The sequence below is a fragment of the Homo sapiens genome, chromosome 7 (genome assembly GCF_000001405.40).
Source record: "Homo sapiens chromosome 7, GRCh38.p14 Primary Assembly".
Classification (NCBI taxonomy): Eukaryota; Metazoa; Chordata; class Mammalia; order Primates; family Hominidae; genus Homo; species Homo sapiens.
Genome location: NC_000007.14, coordinates 120310219 through 120327018, shown reverse-complemented (window position 1 = coordinate 120327018; position 16800 = coordinate 120310219). Strand labels below are relative to the sequence as shown.

Here is a 16800-nt window from a genome sequence, read left to right as displayed (position 1 = left end):
GCATTTTTCCTCATCACTTAACAATTGTAAATAAATATTTATTGATGTATTTGATTTTTTAAATCCTAGCCCTACCAGATCTATTAGACATGAAGGCAACAGATCACATTTGTTTTGTTCTGCACTTATTAGATAGTTCAGTACATTATTCATTCACCTATCAGTGCTTACTGAACAATCCCCAAGGTCTAGACACTGTTAGCAGTAAAGGTTATGCTGCTGTAAACAAGGCAGACCATATTGCTGCTTTCCTGCAGTTTACTTTCCTGTAGGCAAGACAAAAGATAAAGACAAACAAATACAAATATTTATATTTCCATACATATTTGCAGAACATGTGGAAGAAAAATATTAATATTTATTTTGATCATTTTGTATCCATATTCTCATATAATCTGAATATAATTATCTGCACAACTTTCTTGAAGTGTTCTTCTAATTCTCTATTTTGAAGACAAGATAGAATATATTTTCCCTTCAACAATGAGCTACCAATTAGTCTTGATTTTACTTTATAAATATGCATGAATGTTTACACACATCTATGCATATTGTTGTAATCGAAAAAGTCACTTAAAAATAGATTATTATGAATATTATTGTAATCACTTTTCTATTTTTGTAATTAAGCCAGAAATGTCTGCCTGTTTGTTTACCAGCTGTCAATGAACAAAGTTAAAACGAGTGTCATTTCTCTACTCTCTGTCATAAAGTAATAAAACATTTATTAATAAACTGTATTAAAAAGGTTACATTGAATTTATCAGAGTGCTCTTTCTAGGCAGCCCAAAGGAAGAGTAGGCAACATCTGCATAGGTACATTCGTCATTAGTCCTCCCCAATCAAGTGCATATTTAATATACAAACTGTTCTATATTTACTCAATATAAGTATTTACATTTCTATACAATGATATTTTAATAATACATTAACTTCAGTAAACAAAATGATCCCCAAAATACTTTCATTTATAAATGTTTATGTGAGCCCAACCACTTCTCATTTATCAAGCTCATGTCTTTAAAAAATCAATTTGTACAATTAAGAAAAACTTTGAAAACCAGTGTACCTAATTTCACTGGTAATTGAACTATTATTCTCCTGCTTTCCCTTTGATGTCAGCTTTCTTCTCCTGCTGTGAATACAGGGTTCCTTTAGGACCCAAGTTTGACCCCACATAGCAGTACCCATCAATGCCACCTCAGTGATCATAAACTCCAAAAATCTCAACTCAAACCAACACCACTTTTTTTAAATGGCTGGTTCTATTTTTAAAATATTATCAGTTTTTCTTCCAAGTTATTATTTTCACCTATTAATTAAAACCATTGTGCTACATCAAAAAGCTTATCCACCATGATCAAGTGGGCTTCATCCCTGGGATGCAAGGCTGGTTCAATATACGCAAATCAATAAATGTAATCCAGCATATAAACAGAGCCAAAGACAAAAACCACATGATTATCTCAATAGATGCAGAAAAGGCCTTTGACAAAATTCAACAACTCTTCATGCTAAAAACTCTCAATAAATTAGGTATTGATGGGACATATTTCAAAATAATAAGAGCTATCTATGACAAACCAACAGCCAATATCATACTGAATGGGCAAAAACTGGAAGCATTCCCTTTGAAAACTGGCACAAGACAGGGATGCCCTCTCTCACCACTCCTATTCAACATAGTGTTGGAAGTTCTGGCCAGGGCAATTAGGCAGGAGAAGGAAATAAAGGGTATTCAATTAGGAAAAGAGGAAGTCAAATTGTCCCTGTTTGCAGATGACATGATTGTATATCTAGAAAACCCCATTCTCTTAGCCCAAAATCTCCTTAAGCTGATAAGCAACTTCAGCAAACTCTCAGGATACAAAATCAATGTGCAAAAATCACAAGCATTCTTATACACCAACAACAGACAAACGGAGAGCCAAATCATGAGTGAACTCCCATTCACAATTGCTTCAAAGAGAATAAAATACCTAGGAATCCAACTTACAAGGGATGTGAAGGACCTCTTCAAGGAGAACTACAAACCACTGCTCAAGGAAATAAAAGAGGATACAAACAAATGGAAGAACATTCCATGCTCATGGGTAGGAAGAATCAATATCGTGAAAATGGCCATACTGCCCAAGGTAATTTACAGATTCAATGCCATCCCCATCAAGCTACCAATGCCTTTCTTCACAGAATTGGAAAAAACTACTTTAAAGTTCATATGGAACCAAAAAAGAGCCCTCATTGCCAAGTCAATCCTAAGCCAAAAGAACAAAGCTGGAGGCATCACACTACCTGACTTCAAATTATACTACAAGGCTACAGTAACCAAAACAGCATGGTACTGGTACCAAAACAGAGTTATAGATCAATGGAACAGAACAGAGCCCTCAGAAATAACACCGCTTATCTACAACTATCTGATCTTTGACAAACCTGAGAAAAACAAGCAATGGGGAAAGGATTCCCTATTTAATAAATGGTGCTGGGAAAACTGGCTAGCCTTATGTAGAAAGCTGAAACTGGATCCCTTCCTTACACCTTATACAAAAATCAATTCAAGATGGATTAAAGACTTAAACGTTAGACCTAAAACCATAAAAACCCTAGAAGAAAACCTAGGCATTACCATTCAGGACATAGGCATGGGCAAGGACTTCATGTCTAAAACACCAAAAGCAATGGCAACAAAAGCCAAAATTGACAAATGGGATCTAATTAAACTAAAGAGCTTCTGCACAGCAAAAGAAACTCCCATCAGAGTGAACAGGCAACCTACAAAATGGGAGAAAATTTTTGCAACCTACTCATCTGACAAAGGGCTAATATCCAGAATCTACAATGAACTCAAACAAATTTACAAGAAAAAAACAAACAACCCTATCAAAAAGTGGGTGAAGGACATGAACAGACACTTCTCAAAAGAAGACATTTATGCACCCAAAAAACACAGGAAAAAATGCTCACCATCACTGGCCATCAGAGAAATGCAAATCAAAACCACAATGAGATACCATCTCACACCAGTTAGAATGGCAATCATTAAAAAGTCAGGAAACAACAGGTGCTGGAGAGGATGTGGAGAAATAGGAACACTTTTACACTGTTGGTGGGACTGTAAACTAGTTCAACCATTGTGGAAGTCAGTGTGGCCATTCCTCAGGGATCTAGAACTAGAAATACCATTTGACCCAGCCATCCCATTACTGGGTATATACCCAAAGGACTATAAATCATGCTGCTATAAAGACACATGCACACGTATGTTTATTGCAGCATTATTCACAATAGCAAAGACTTGGAACCAACCCAAATGTCCAACAATGATAGACTGGATTAAGAAAATGTGGCACATATACACCATGGAATACTATGCAGCCATAAAAAATGATGAGTTCATGTCCTTTGTAGGGACATGGATGAAATTGGAAATCATCATTCTCAGTAAACTATCGCAAGGACAAAAAACCAAACACCACATATTCTCACTCATAGGTGGGAATTGAACAATGAGATCACATGGACACAGGAAGGGGAACATCACACTCTGGGGACTGTTGTGGGGTGGGGGGAGTGGGGAGGGATAGCAGTGGGAGATACACCTAATGCTAGATGACGAGTTAGTGGGTGCAGCACACCAGCTTGGCACATGTATACGTATGTAACTAACCTGCACGTTGTGCTCATGTACCCTAAAACTTAAAGTATAATAATAAAAAAATAAATAAATAAAACCATTGTGCTAATCCAAACTAACACAGGAACAGAAAACCAAACACCGCATGTTCTCACTCATAAGTGGGAGTTGAATAATGAGAACACAGGGCACAGGTAGGAGAACATCACACACCAGGGCCTGTCGGGGGTGGGAGGTAAGGAAAGGGAGAGTATTAGGGCAAATACCTAATGCATGCGAGGCTTGAAACCTAGATGATGGGTTGATAGGTGCAGCAAACCACCATAGCACATGTATACCTATGTAACAAACCTGCTCGTTCTGCACATGTATCCCAGAACTTAAAAACAAAACATCATTGTGCTGATCAATGACTTTGTTTTAAAACTATTTATTTTATACTATAAATCAGAAAATTATAATTAAAGCATTCATTTTAGTAATATCTAGAATCTAATTTAAAATTTTCAATTTAATGGCACTAGATAAAAAACAAAGAATTGATTGATCTAACCCTTAAACACCGTGTATTCAGACAGATTTTCTGTTATCAAAAGACAAAGTTACTGAGTTTTACTCAAGACATAGAAAATGCTAATAACTAGCTAACACAGAGGAGTGCCATCTTTCATTCTTAACCGGAGTTAACACCCAGAGAACAGGATATGGAGACTTTTTAGATGTTAGACAATGCCAGTGACAAAATTAAAATAAATATTTCCTTTGTAAATGAAAAAAATCTGAAATATGCATAACATCTCATTATGCAAGCTACACAAAATTGTAGAATCACAACCATAAGTTACATTAGAAATAACTAGAAATAATTTTGTTTGCTTTATGAACTGTATTCCTTAAAACACCATAAACTTTAACTTATGCTATACCTGTCAATGATGTTTAGCAGAAAGAGCAGTAGACAAAGAAAGGGAGTTAGGTTTTGTTTTTATCCTGTCACTGAGGATGTTCTACCTATGTGAAGCAATTTATATCCGTGAGTCTCAGTTTCCCCATCTGCAAAGTAATATAGAACAAGTGGCTGCTGATTTACATTATATTTCTAAATGTTATATGCCTATTAAATCCAAGCAGCTTATATTTGACATAGAAAAGTGCTATGAACTAGGACATCTTATTTCCTCCATTGATTTTAATTATGCTTTTTTTTAAAAAAAGGTTTTTTACTGACATATCAATATTTAATTTACTTGATATTAAATTTTCTTTATTTTCTAAATTTAAAGGTATTTGTGATTTTTTACTTTGTTTTTAATACACATAATTTAATGCCTATGAATCATTAACTTGTTCTCTCTACTTGCAATATCCTTATCATTTTTTGTAGATATTTCTGTGGGAATTTCCTACTCATATTTTCTCATTAATATTAACATCATCTTCTCTGAGCTTCCATACTGCACTTGGAACATATTTTATGTATTTTAGCATCTTCCGAATGTTATACGGAGTATTCAACAAATGCTTATTGAGAAATGATTAACTGTGATTAGGTTGGTGAGGACAGAAAGATACCCAAAATTTGGTTTCTTTTATAAAAGACTTAATCATGAAATATGGAACAGCAAGCGTGTTGGACATAAAAAGAACATTAGGCAGTATATGTAAAGAAAAGGACTCCAGAGCAAAGTCAATAAATGGAAGAAAAAGTGTTGCTTGTGTGTATATTCCATGCTAGGCACAATGCAATGTACTTTCACCTTTGTAATCTCTAATATGAGATATTTTAAAAGTATAAACACATTTTTATAGTTTCAGTAACAAGAAAAAAAATAATATTCAAATATAAGTGGACAATAAATTTTTAAATAAAGTATATTGATATCCAAAAATATAAAGCCCTTAGACAAATTATGTTAAAAATCTGTAACTTTCTAACAAATAAATAATCCTGGGCCAGGAGCAGTGGCTCATGCCTATAACACTGAAGCTTTGGGAGGCTGAGGCAGGAGGATTGCTTAAGGTCAGGAGTTCAAGACATGCCTAAACAATGTAACAACACAAAAACAAAACAAAACAAAATAAAATCCAAAGATGAATACAGAAAAAACATAGATAGATGTAACTGTATATGAGAATGTAGTAAATCTGCACTTGTCACAAGTTATTATGATTATTAGTTTACTTCTTAGTATTTCCTACTAAATTAAAATAGTGGAGGGCTGAGGCTGTGTTCTTTACTGATATATATACAATGCCTACATAGCAAAAATCTACAAAAATATCTTGAATGGATTAATTTACAAATGCATACATACAGGAAAAAAAGGTTAGCATTTAATGCTGGGAAGGTACTATGAATTGGGCACTGTCAAACACTCACTTCTGACCTAGATTCGAAACTTGGAAACAAAAGCCCACTGAAAAATTCTTCACTCATTCATAAGCTATTTCCTTGCAGGAAGCTTACATTTCCACAGACGCTTTAACCTTAATATACCCCCAGTGAACTTATCTTCTCCAATAAACTTGCTCTTCCTGCATTTTTGTATTTTGATTAATGGTTCTACCCCTGACTCTATCAGCCAGGTTAGCGACAGAGCAATCACCTCCCTTCCTCTAAATCCTATTTCCACTTAGACTCTTAGTTCTTTGCTTTTGCTTTCTAAATGTGTCTCTCTTCTTTACTACATCTTCACTCTCATTTTCTTCCTTTGAAACCACTACAATAAACTTTTAATTGACTTTCCTGCTTTCAATGTCAACCCTGCTTCAATCAATTTTCCAAAGTGCAGCTACATTGTTACTTCTTGTCTTGAAATTCCTTAGTGATCCCCTGTCTTTGACAGGATAAAGTGAAAGTCCTTTTGTAGAGTGGAAAGGCCTTTTCCCTAATTTGCCACCTTCATCTCTTCACCCTGGCTGCACTGTAAGCTTCGCACACTGAACCACTTGCCATTCCTTAGACATACCAAATTCTCACACTTACAGGTTTCACATCTGCTAGTCCCTGGGTGCCCATTCCAATCTTAGACAATGGTAGGGTCACATCCATTATACTAGGCTAGACCAAAGTGACACTTCTTATAGAAGTTAATCTTTCCTTAACTCTCCTTTGCAGATATAATAATTTGCTTTGTAACACCCCTGTACTTCTATACAATCCATTATTATACTTATATTACTATATTACGTGCCTGTCTTCCCTACACAATTTCTGTGTATCTCCAGTGTCTGGCACATACTCCCAATTCAAATTTTTTTCAATGTTTGTTATTGTACAAGTGGTACCAACTGACAAGCGCAAGATGAAACAGGACCACTCAGGTAAACTGAGTGACTCAATATATTTTAATTTCAGTATTTATTTAAATCAAATTAATAACAATCTTGCACTTTTGCATTTTCATAGGCCTAAACTAATATACGTTCTCTACCATTCAATGCTAACCAACTAAACTCTGCATGTTAAAGAAGAACAAAAAACAAAAAACTGCATGGCTTTAAAAGCAGCATGATACTAATTAGAATATATAGATTAAAAACATAAAATATAATATTGATTATATGGCTTCTACTATGTTAAATGGATGGCAAAATGTTTATATTAAGAATGGAAAAAATACCATAATTACATTAAATTGTATCTTTAGTTTCTTGACACAACTTATCTTCTTGGCTATCTAATTATCTTAACAATATTTTTGAAATGATTCCGAAATGTTTGAAATTACTGTGTTGTTTCAATGGCTTAAATGAAGAAGAGGTAAAAACATGGTATGTTTTAGATATATCGGCAAGAGTGTTATTTATTTTGACCTGCCTTTAGAAGCAGAAAAAGAACTTGCTTCTGGGTTACTGTATCCAATTCTCCTTCCTTTTCATAACCAATATGTCTAAAAGATTATCTACTGTATGAATAAATTTCAATTCCCAGAGCCTGTGCCTAATGTTAATAAGAATGTCTATTCTAATATAGAAAGTATATGTGATAGAAGAGTAAATGCAAGGTATGTGTCCCATTTTTTACTTGATATTTGTTTGAAAATGTGTAATTTTTTCTACTTGTCTATTAAAAATAAAAAGTACCTCCATAGCTATGCCCTTGTTACTCCACAATGATTCTGGAGGGATGCCTGAGATTATTTTAGAAGGCTTTAGAGGAAATAAGAAAAAAACCAAATAGCAAACTTAGAGTTCATTCAGGAAGAAAGATAATAGAGTCATCTCTATTAGCTAGCTTAATGGGAAGGAAACGCAGCTTAGAAAATATAAAATTAAACGCTCTGATGCTTCCATGTAGTAAAACTATGATAGGGAAGGAGAGGAGTGAGAAGTAATAGGTGAAAGGAAAACTGAGCAAATCTGTTGAATTGTAGTGATGATAATAGAACAAAATTATAAGTGAATATTTTAAACTACAAATCATCTTTACAATATTTGAAGTTTACCATAAGGTTAGTTTGTTTAATCTTCCTATTGCTATGTTTAATCTTCCTATTCACCCAACAAGTGAATGATGTTCTATTTGTTTCTAAATGTTTAATGCATTGTTCCAAAGATCAGTACAAACATGTGAAAAGCCATCTTCTGAATCTGATATGCTAGTATTCAATATGAACTTCATTTGTTTATATTGGTAAAAAGTATTTCGTTCCTGGTATTTCTTCATAACATGAGACCTGGAAGTTAATCCTGAAGCACTAAAATGTTAAACACACCACTGAAGAAAAAACTTTCTCATCAGATTTTATTTGGTTCTCAATCTCTGGATTTAGAACACCATGGAGTTATTTCAAGGAATTTTCCAGGCCAAATGAACAAGTAACAATGCTATCAAAGCAAATAAATATGTTGCCAAACACATAAGTGTTGTGACTGATGTTATAATTTATTAAAGTATTATAAAAGTATTGATTCAGCACAGTTTTGGTCATTATGAGTGCCCCAATTCACAGAGAATGCTATTCACCTTTCATATAGAATCAATGAGAGTATTTGACATTATTTCTGAAAGAGCCTAGGATTATGATCTAGACTTAGTGATATAAATCAAATTTTATATGTAATCATTCTTTGACTTTGCTTCCTATGGCATCACTATGTAATTTGTACAGTTTACACTTTACTATTTGTAGTCAACCCAACACCCACTCTGACTCTTAGGTCCACTCAATATAATTTTGTTTTCTCTTGTGCATTCTAACTCTAGTGTTGATACTAATTTTAGATGTGAGAACTGAAGCCACTTGCATTTTCCAGGTCTCAGCAATAAAGAATAAAAATTAGACAAGATTTACTCTAAAATTCTTTTCAAATCTAACATTTCATAACCCTCTGACATCTCTGACATCAACCCTCACACCTTAGAGAACATGGTGGCAAATACACAGCAGGTGCTTAATGAATGCTTGTTTAATTAATATGGCAGAGCCTTTACTACTTTATCTATCTAGGCTGACTGCAGGAAGATTGTGTATCTTAAAGTTTTTCACAAAACTAATTGTTGGAACATCTCAGAATTCTCTCCAACTGATTGATTTGAAATCATTGGCTTTATATTCTTCCCATAAAACTGTGGGGTTTTACGGCTTTATAGACAATAATGAGTACACTTAATTACACATGCACAGAAGCAATAATCTCTAAAGACAATTTAATTTCTGAAGCCATGTACTGCAATCTCAGCCATATCATAGAGTTACACAAATCAAATGCGGATGAAGTATAAGGATGAAAACCAATTTGTTGTACTTTGCAGTATTCTAAACCTATCCTTAAATTTTGGGTAACTAGTAACTAATAAGGTATATTAGAACTAAATAATGTAATAGGTACTTTTAATTAGAATGAGATGTTGTTGGTAAAAGATACATAATTCACACTGAATACAGAAAAATGCATTCCTTTTTTGGAGAAAAATGTAAAAATTAAATGTAATAATTAAAGACACAATTAATAATTAAAGACACAATTGACATGAGTTAGGTATGATACATATATATACATAGTGGTTGAAATATTGTAAAGGTTAATGAAATATTAATACAAAAATTACCTAATTTACAATTAATGCATATGTTAGAGAATTTGATGCCATCATTTTGATGTTTTTTTCAGAATATTTACAACTCATAATAAAAGCAGGTCAAAGTGTTCCTAACAGTTTATTGAAGAAGTTTGATATATATAATACTTCTGTTCAATAAAGTGTTGAATATATAAATGATTCATAAAAATTATCTGCAATTAGGGCCCGGCGTGGTGGCTCACACCTGTAATCCCAGCACTTTGGGAGGCCAAGGTGGGTGGATCACGAGGTCAGGAGATCAAGACCATCCTGGCTGACAGGGTGAAACCTAGTCTCTACTAAAAATACAAAAAATCAGCTGGGCATCGTTGAATGCGCCTATAGTCCCAGCTACTCTGGAGGCTGGGGCAGGAAAATCGCTTGAACCCGGGAGGCAGAGGTTGCTGTGAGCTGAGATTGCACCACTACACTCCAGCCTGGTGATGAAGTGAGACCTCGTCCCAAAAAAAAAAAAAATTATCTGCAATTAGGATGTCACAATCTGATTTTTTTTCCTTCACATAAAGTACAATAATTCAGTACAACAAAAAAAAGATATCATTCTTGGTCAAATGAAAAAATTTACACATGGACACTTCTAGTACACCTGTTTTAAAGGCTTAGTTTAGTCTTTTTTCATCGTAATCAGAATAAGTGGCCAATATGTCAACACAAATTGCAAATAAACTAATAAAAATGCAAACCTAAAATTTACATGAGTGGCTTTGGCTAACACTTAATAAATCCATTGGAATAAAAAGGAAACATTTATACCAAACTTTTACACATAGAAACAGTAACTTCCTACACGTGTGATGCTGAAAGCTTCAAAAGTCTAGGAGAAATGAGTTATTTCACAAATGAGTTTTGATTTAAATGTAAGTTCAAGGTAGTTATGAAAAACATTAGGGGAAATTGGAAAGACCTTGTTAAAATAATTGAGCTTACAGAAGCAGTGATAAGAATGTAAATCTGAAAATTGCCTCTGCATCACATAGCTAGCTAAATATTCTGAGAAGTAGAATCATTCTTCTTTCTCTCAAAGCAAAATTGGAGTTTTAATAGGCGCAAAGAAAAGTAGTACAGAAAGCAGAAGCACCTGGATTTCCAACTCTTGACAGAAATGTTAAGGCAAATGTAAAAGAGTATAGTTTTTTCTTTTAGGTTTCTAAAATGGAAGATAAACGCCAAATTTTAGTTTTTTATGATCTATTACGAACCATGAATGTATTTAGTTTTTTGGAATAAACAAATATTTCCACCTTTTCCTACTTTGAGCACCATCAATGAATGTTTAAGGTATGTATGAATTTGTTTTTGTATACTTTCCTTCTTTATGTTTCAATGTGTGCCTCCTCCCTCCAGAAATCTGGAATTCTGATACATCCACAAACACCTTTGGAAATGTTACCTAAAGATTCAATCACCTTCAATTTTCATCAGTTTTCAATGGATCAAATTTTTAGTCCATCTCACTATGTCTTAAAAATCTCAAATATTACACACACACACACACACACACACACACACACACACACACACACACACACACTGCTTATGGAAAAACCACAAAACATTTCGTGTCTCACTGCTTGACTTTCCCTACATTGACAACAATGATTTATGACTATGAAATTTACAGTATGCTGATAGAGGGGAACTATTTCAAGTGACTGACTTTCTGGGGGCTTTAGGGACTATCCCATAAGGGTGGCACCAGAATTTGTTGAAAATTTCATAGGCACTACGTGTGTTATTTTCTGTATCTGGCAAAATAATCGACACCGAGATTCACTGGAGAAGTATACAATGTAGGTGTCATTCTGATCCTTAGCCCTTTGCTTTCCTGTGGAAAATTCAAGGTTTACATTGTTTCCGGTTCCACTGTGTTACCCTAAAGATACCCTTAGGGCTTAACCGCCTAGAGACACTGAGAAGCATCCATGCTATGTAGAAAAAGGATTTTTCAGATTCAAGTTTAGTAAATATGAAGTCAAGTACTGTTTCCCACAGATGCACAAATTCCCACAGAAAACTCTTGGGTCTGTTCAAACTCTCCCTTTGTGGTTGAGAGTTAAGCCTGTCAATGAATGGTGGTGGGGAACGTGGAAGACAGCAGGAACCCTAATGAAATGCTCAGAGAGATTCGATTCTTTCAAGCTTGCATGGATCTGAAATAAATCATATTAATAGATGCTTTTTTTTCCCTTTACAAAGCAATTTAAGTTGAACTAAGCTGTAATCAGTTGGTAAATTGATAATTTACTTCCATATATCTTTCAACAATTGTACTTTTTATATCTTCCATAGATGTGTGTGTATGTGTGCATGTGTGTGCTGTGCATGCTTTCTTTTAAAAAAAAAAGTTTCAGTGGTGATAACATGCATTATTTCAGTAAAGAAAGAGCTCTGTGACTTAAGCTTGCAAGGTATAACAGCTAATGAGGAGATGAAATTTAACATACTAAATTTTTTTAAATAACATTTTGTATACTTTCATATTCAATGTGGATTCATCCACATCTATGTAGAGACTACTATAGATTTCAAGTTACATAACCTTTATCTTGACAATGGACTACCATTATTCACTGCTTTGCATTGTAATATTATACTATAGAGACAACAAATTTGTAATCATTCAGGCAACCTTTATGTTGTATACAGATCCATCGCTTATACGGGCCCTGACATATATTAGCTGTATGAATGACCAGTTAAGCCTCTAAAGTCTGTTTATCTGTGCATAAAATATGATTTATAATTTATTCTTTATGGTAACATGGTATAAACACAATAAAATGTATGAAATGCCAAATTATTACTAAGCACTAATTTGATTACACATTTATTCTCCCACACTGTCCATACATTATCAATTTTACTAATTAGTCTTTTAACCTAGAGTTAGGGAAAAAAAGAGAACCATATTATCTTTTCTCTTTGCCTTAATCTAACCAAAAAAATGCATTTTTTTTTTTTTTTGAGATGGAGTCTTGCTCTGTCACCCAGGCTGGGGTGCAGTGGTGCGATCTCGGCTCACTGCAAGCTCCACCTCCCGGGTTCAATGCATTTTGAAAATAAACATATTTCCTATACATTTTGTACAAAAGTAATTTCAAAAAGAAATAAATTCACTGAATCTGAATATTTCTCTTTCCTCCTGTATTTGTTGATTTTTTAAACCCTAGTATAGGACTCTTTTTGAAGCAAGTAGAAGCTCAAATGATGTTGGCTTTTTTTTTTTTGTATTTACACTGAAGAAATAAAAGTGTCCTTACTGTATTTGTTGATTTTTTAAACCCTAGTATAGAACTCTTTTTGAAGCAAGTAGAAGCTCAGATGATGTTGGCTTTTTTTTCTTTTTTGTATTTATACTGAAGAAATAAAAGTGTCCTTACAAAGGTTTAAAATAGAGGTTTAAATTCCCAGGATTACTTATTATTCAACTTCCTGGACAGGGATGTATAAACTGTTGGCTTATGTCTTACAGTAGAATATCACAGGATTCTAAAAATATTGCATGTTTCCAAAGAAGGATACTGTTCTTTAAATCTACAAAAAAAAAAAAAAAAATCCCAGGAGACATCTTGAGCAGAGTTTTCTAAAGAAGAGCAATGCTTCAGTATTCTACCAGCAGAGACAGAACTAGAAGTAATTTGGAAACTACCAACAAGGCAGCCTATGGCACTCAACACAGCCCCAGCTGCTACTACTTCAAGGCGTCATTCCATCCTTGCCATTCAGATCTTTCTGCTACTAACTGAAAGGAAAGAGGGAGACATGGAAAATCGGGTTTAAGTCAACTATAACTATGCTTTCTATGTTTAAAATTATCACAATGTAGTTTTAAAATTTTAATAATATTTCTTTTCACAAAAAAATTGAATAACAAAGGCTTTCCTTCCCAAAATGTCTTTACCTTTATAATGAAACAAGCTGCCTATTATCTATTTAATTGTCATGCATACATTTATATACATATACAATAGAAATATTTTATCTATTATGATAATAAGATGAACAACTATCTTTATCAATCAATTTGTTTAAGATAAATTTCCCAGTCAGTATTAGCAACCTAAATTTCCATACCACAAGCATCTCTTATCTAAATATGTTTCAATACAACTTTTATGGCAAGCCAGATAAAGAAAATTTCATGAGATCACAAAGAAAAATGAAAGTGTGAAATAGAGCAGACAATGTTTGGCCCCATGGGCGCCATGGGGTTAATAAAGTTCCAAGTGGATCAACAGACTCCCTACGTAAATCCACATCATCGGATTCCTGCAATGGAAAAGCACTCACAGTGGTTAAACTGTCACATTAGAGATGCTTCTAGAATGGGTAATGCTGTCAGAGCTAGAAGTCAGATCTGCAACAAATGTTGGGAAGGATGTCATCAGTCTTTTTTTTAAAAAAAGTCACAAGTTTTCCTTTTTGATCTTAAAATAGTTGGTGAACAGTAGGCCAACTACCCATTAATCCACCTGTATCTCCAAATCCAACTTATTTTGTGGCTATTATTTCTAGGACTACCAATATCTATGTATCTGAGTGTTACCTTCTGTAATGTCATGGATGATAATGCCTCTTTATGCTCACTCACTCAAGGCTAAGCTAGAACTATTACTGAAGGAGTTAGGCCGTGAACAACACCTGGGAAAAATAGTGAAGAATTCAAGTAATTCTTTGAGGCTGAATGTATGAATTTTTGTCGCCATAGCCATGAATGTCAATTTAGAAAGATCAAAATCTGAATCAAATATCCTTTCCAGATATCTTCTACAAATCACTCGCTAGCTGCATGAACTCAGTAAATACTTTCCAATTCTGAGTCAGTTTGCTTTTCTTATAAAATGTGGCTAAAAATTACCTGTTGTATATCGTTTGACCCAGCAATCGCATTACTGGGTATATACTCAAAGGAATATAAATCTTTCTGTTATAAAAACACATGTATGTGCATGTTCATTGCAACACTACTCACAATAATAAAGACATAAAATCAACCTAAATGCCCATCAATAATGACACACTGGATAAAGAGAATGTGGTGCATATACACCATGGAATACTACGCGGTCATTTAAAAAAAAATACCTAAGGGCCAGGCACAGTGGCTCATGCCTGTAATCCCAGCATTTTGGGAGGCCGAAGTGGGCAGATCATCTGAGGTCAGGAGTTTGAGACCAGGCTGACCAACATGGAGAAAGTCCCCCATCTCTATTAAAAATACAAAATTAGCCAGGCATGATGTTGCATGCCTGTTATCCCAGCTACTCATGAGGCTGAGGCAGGAGAATTGTTTGAACCCAGGAGGTGGAGGTTGTGGTGAGCCGAGATTGTGCCATTGCACTCCAGTCTAGGGAACAAGAGCTAAACTCCATCTCAAAATATAAAAGAAAAAAATTGAGACCATGTCCTTTGCAGGGACATGGATGGAGCTAGAGGCCATTATCCTTAGCAAACTAACACAGGAACAGAAAACAAATACAGCATGTTCTCACTTATAAGTGGAAGCTAAATGATGAGAAAACATGGACACATAGAGGGAAACACCACACACTGGGGCCTTTTGGAGGGTAGAGGGTGGGGGAGGAAGATCAGAAAAAATAACTAATGAGTACTAGGCTTAATACCTGGATGATGAAACAATCTGTGCAAGAAACCCCCATGACATAAGTATACCTATGTAACAAACCAGCACACGTACCCCTGAACTTAAAATAGAAGTTAAAAAAGGAGAAAATCCATTCAGAATAGTTACTGTAATGTTGTGGTTAATAAATATTAGTCATTGCTTTTATTAAAAGGAGGCATTTTGCAAACTCTGGGCTCACTCCCAGTCTTCCTCAGATTAATGCTATTTCCTCAATGTCCTATTCTATCCCAATTGCCTCTATAATTAAAATTCTTACTATCATTGTAATGAAAAGTGTTGGCAAATGTTTAAACTATTTCTATTCTTCTTTTCTGATTTTTATAACAAAGGCAATTTGGATAATTATTTACAAAACTGTGCAAAATACCTCCTTTAAAATAGCATTTTTATTAAGATGCCACAAAAATTCTGCTTATGTCAGCAAAAATCCTTAAAGAGCACAGTTTTGCTAATAGGAAGATGCAGCATATGTCTACACTCTGTTAATCAGGAACCTAAATATAGAAAAGGAAACAAACCGTATATGTCATGAAAATGAGAACACAATCTAAGATATTTGCCAACTTAACAAAATATAAACTGTAATATATACTTCACTATTATATATACACACATATACATGTATATACATACATACATGTATGCATACATAAAAATACAAGCAATATATGTAATACAGAGTTTTCTTTTCTTTCTTTCTTTTTTTTTTTTTTTTGGACAGAGTCTCCCTCTGTTGCCCAGGCTGGAGTGCAGTGGGGCAATCTCAGCTCACTGCAACCTCCAACTCCCAGGTACAAGTGATTCCTGTGCCTCAGCTTCCTGAGTGGCTGGGATTACAGGCATGCACCACCACGCCAAGTTAATTTTGTATTTTTAGTACAGATGGGGTTTCACCATGTTGGCCAGGCTGGTCTCAAACTCCTGGCCTCAAGTGATCTGCCTGCCTCAGCCTCCCAAAGTGCTGGGATGAGCCACCACGTGAGCCACCACAACCGTGAGCCACCACGACCAGTCTATATAGCTTTCTATAATCCACATTAGTTTTTCTTTAATCACATTAAACACAATTATATTTACCAAATTGATTCTATAGTATGAAATAAAGGCACAGAAACAGACTCAATCTTCTGAATATATTATTCTGCATGTTGTGAGCCAGACATTTATATAAGTATTTTGCAAATTATAGTTGACAGATGCCAATTATCTTAATAAAAGAAAAAAAATTCTTTTAAAGAAAAATATAATGGAGGATAAATCAAGTTAAATTGTTCTTCATTGTCGTTAGATTCTGTAAATAACATATGGTGTGCTACTAACTGAAATATAATTACCAGTTGTATGATTGTATTTGTTCATATTATCCTATAATTTTTGCAATTTTAGACTAACACAAGTAACTTAGTTTTTAATAGAACATTTATCCTTTAT

At 34.2% G+C, this 16800-nt stretch overlaps 1 protein-coding gene across 2 annotated transcripts in view, besides 1 other annotated feature; it reads right to left on the bottom strand.

Moving 5' to 3' along the window:
• KCND2 (potassium voltage-gated channel subfamily D member 2) overlaps positions 1 to 16800 on the bottom strand; it is a 477430-nt gene that overhangs the window by 423319 nt on the left and 37311 nt on the right. The window lies entirely within an intron of this gene.
• Positions 11571 to 11690: an enhancer, noted in NCBI's record as "active region_26551". NCBI's record gives its function as "activates an Ori minimal core promoter by ATAC-STARR-seq in GM12878 lymphoblastoid cells {active_cell/tissue: GM12878}" and the evidence as "EXISTENCE:reporter gene assay evidence [ECO:0000049][PMID:35858748]".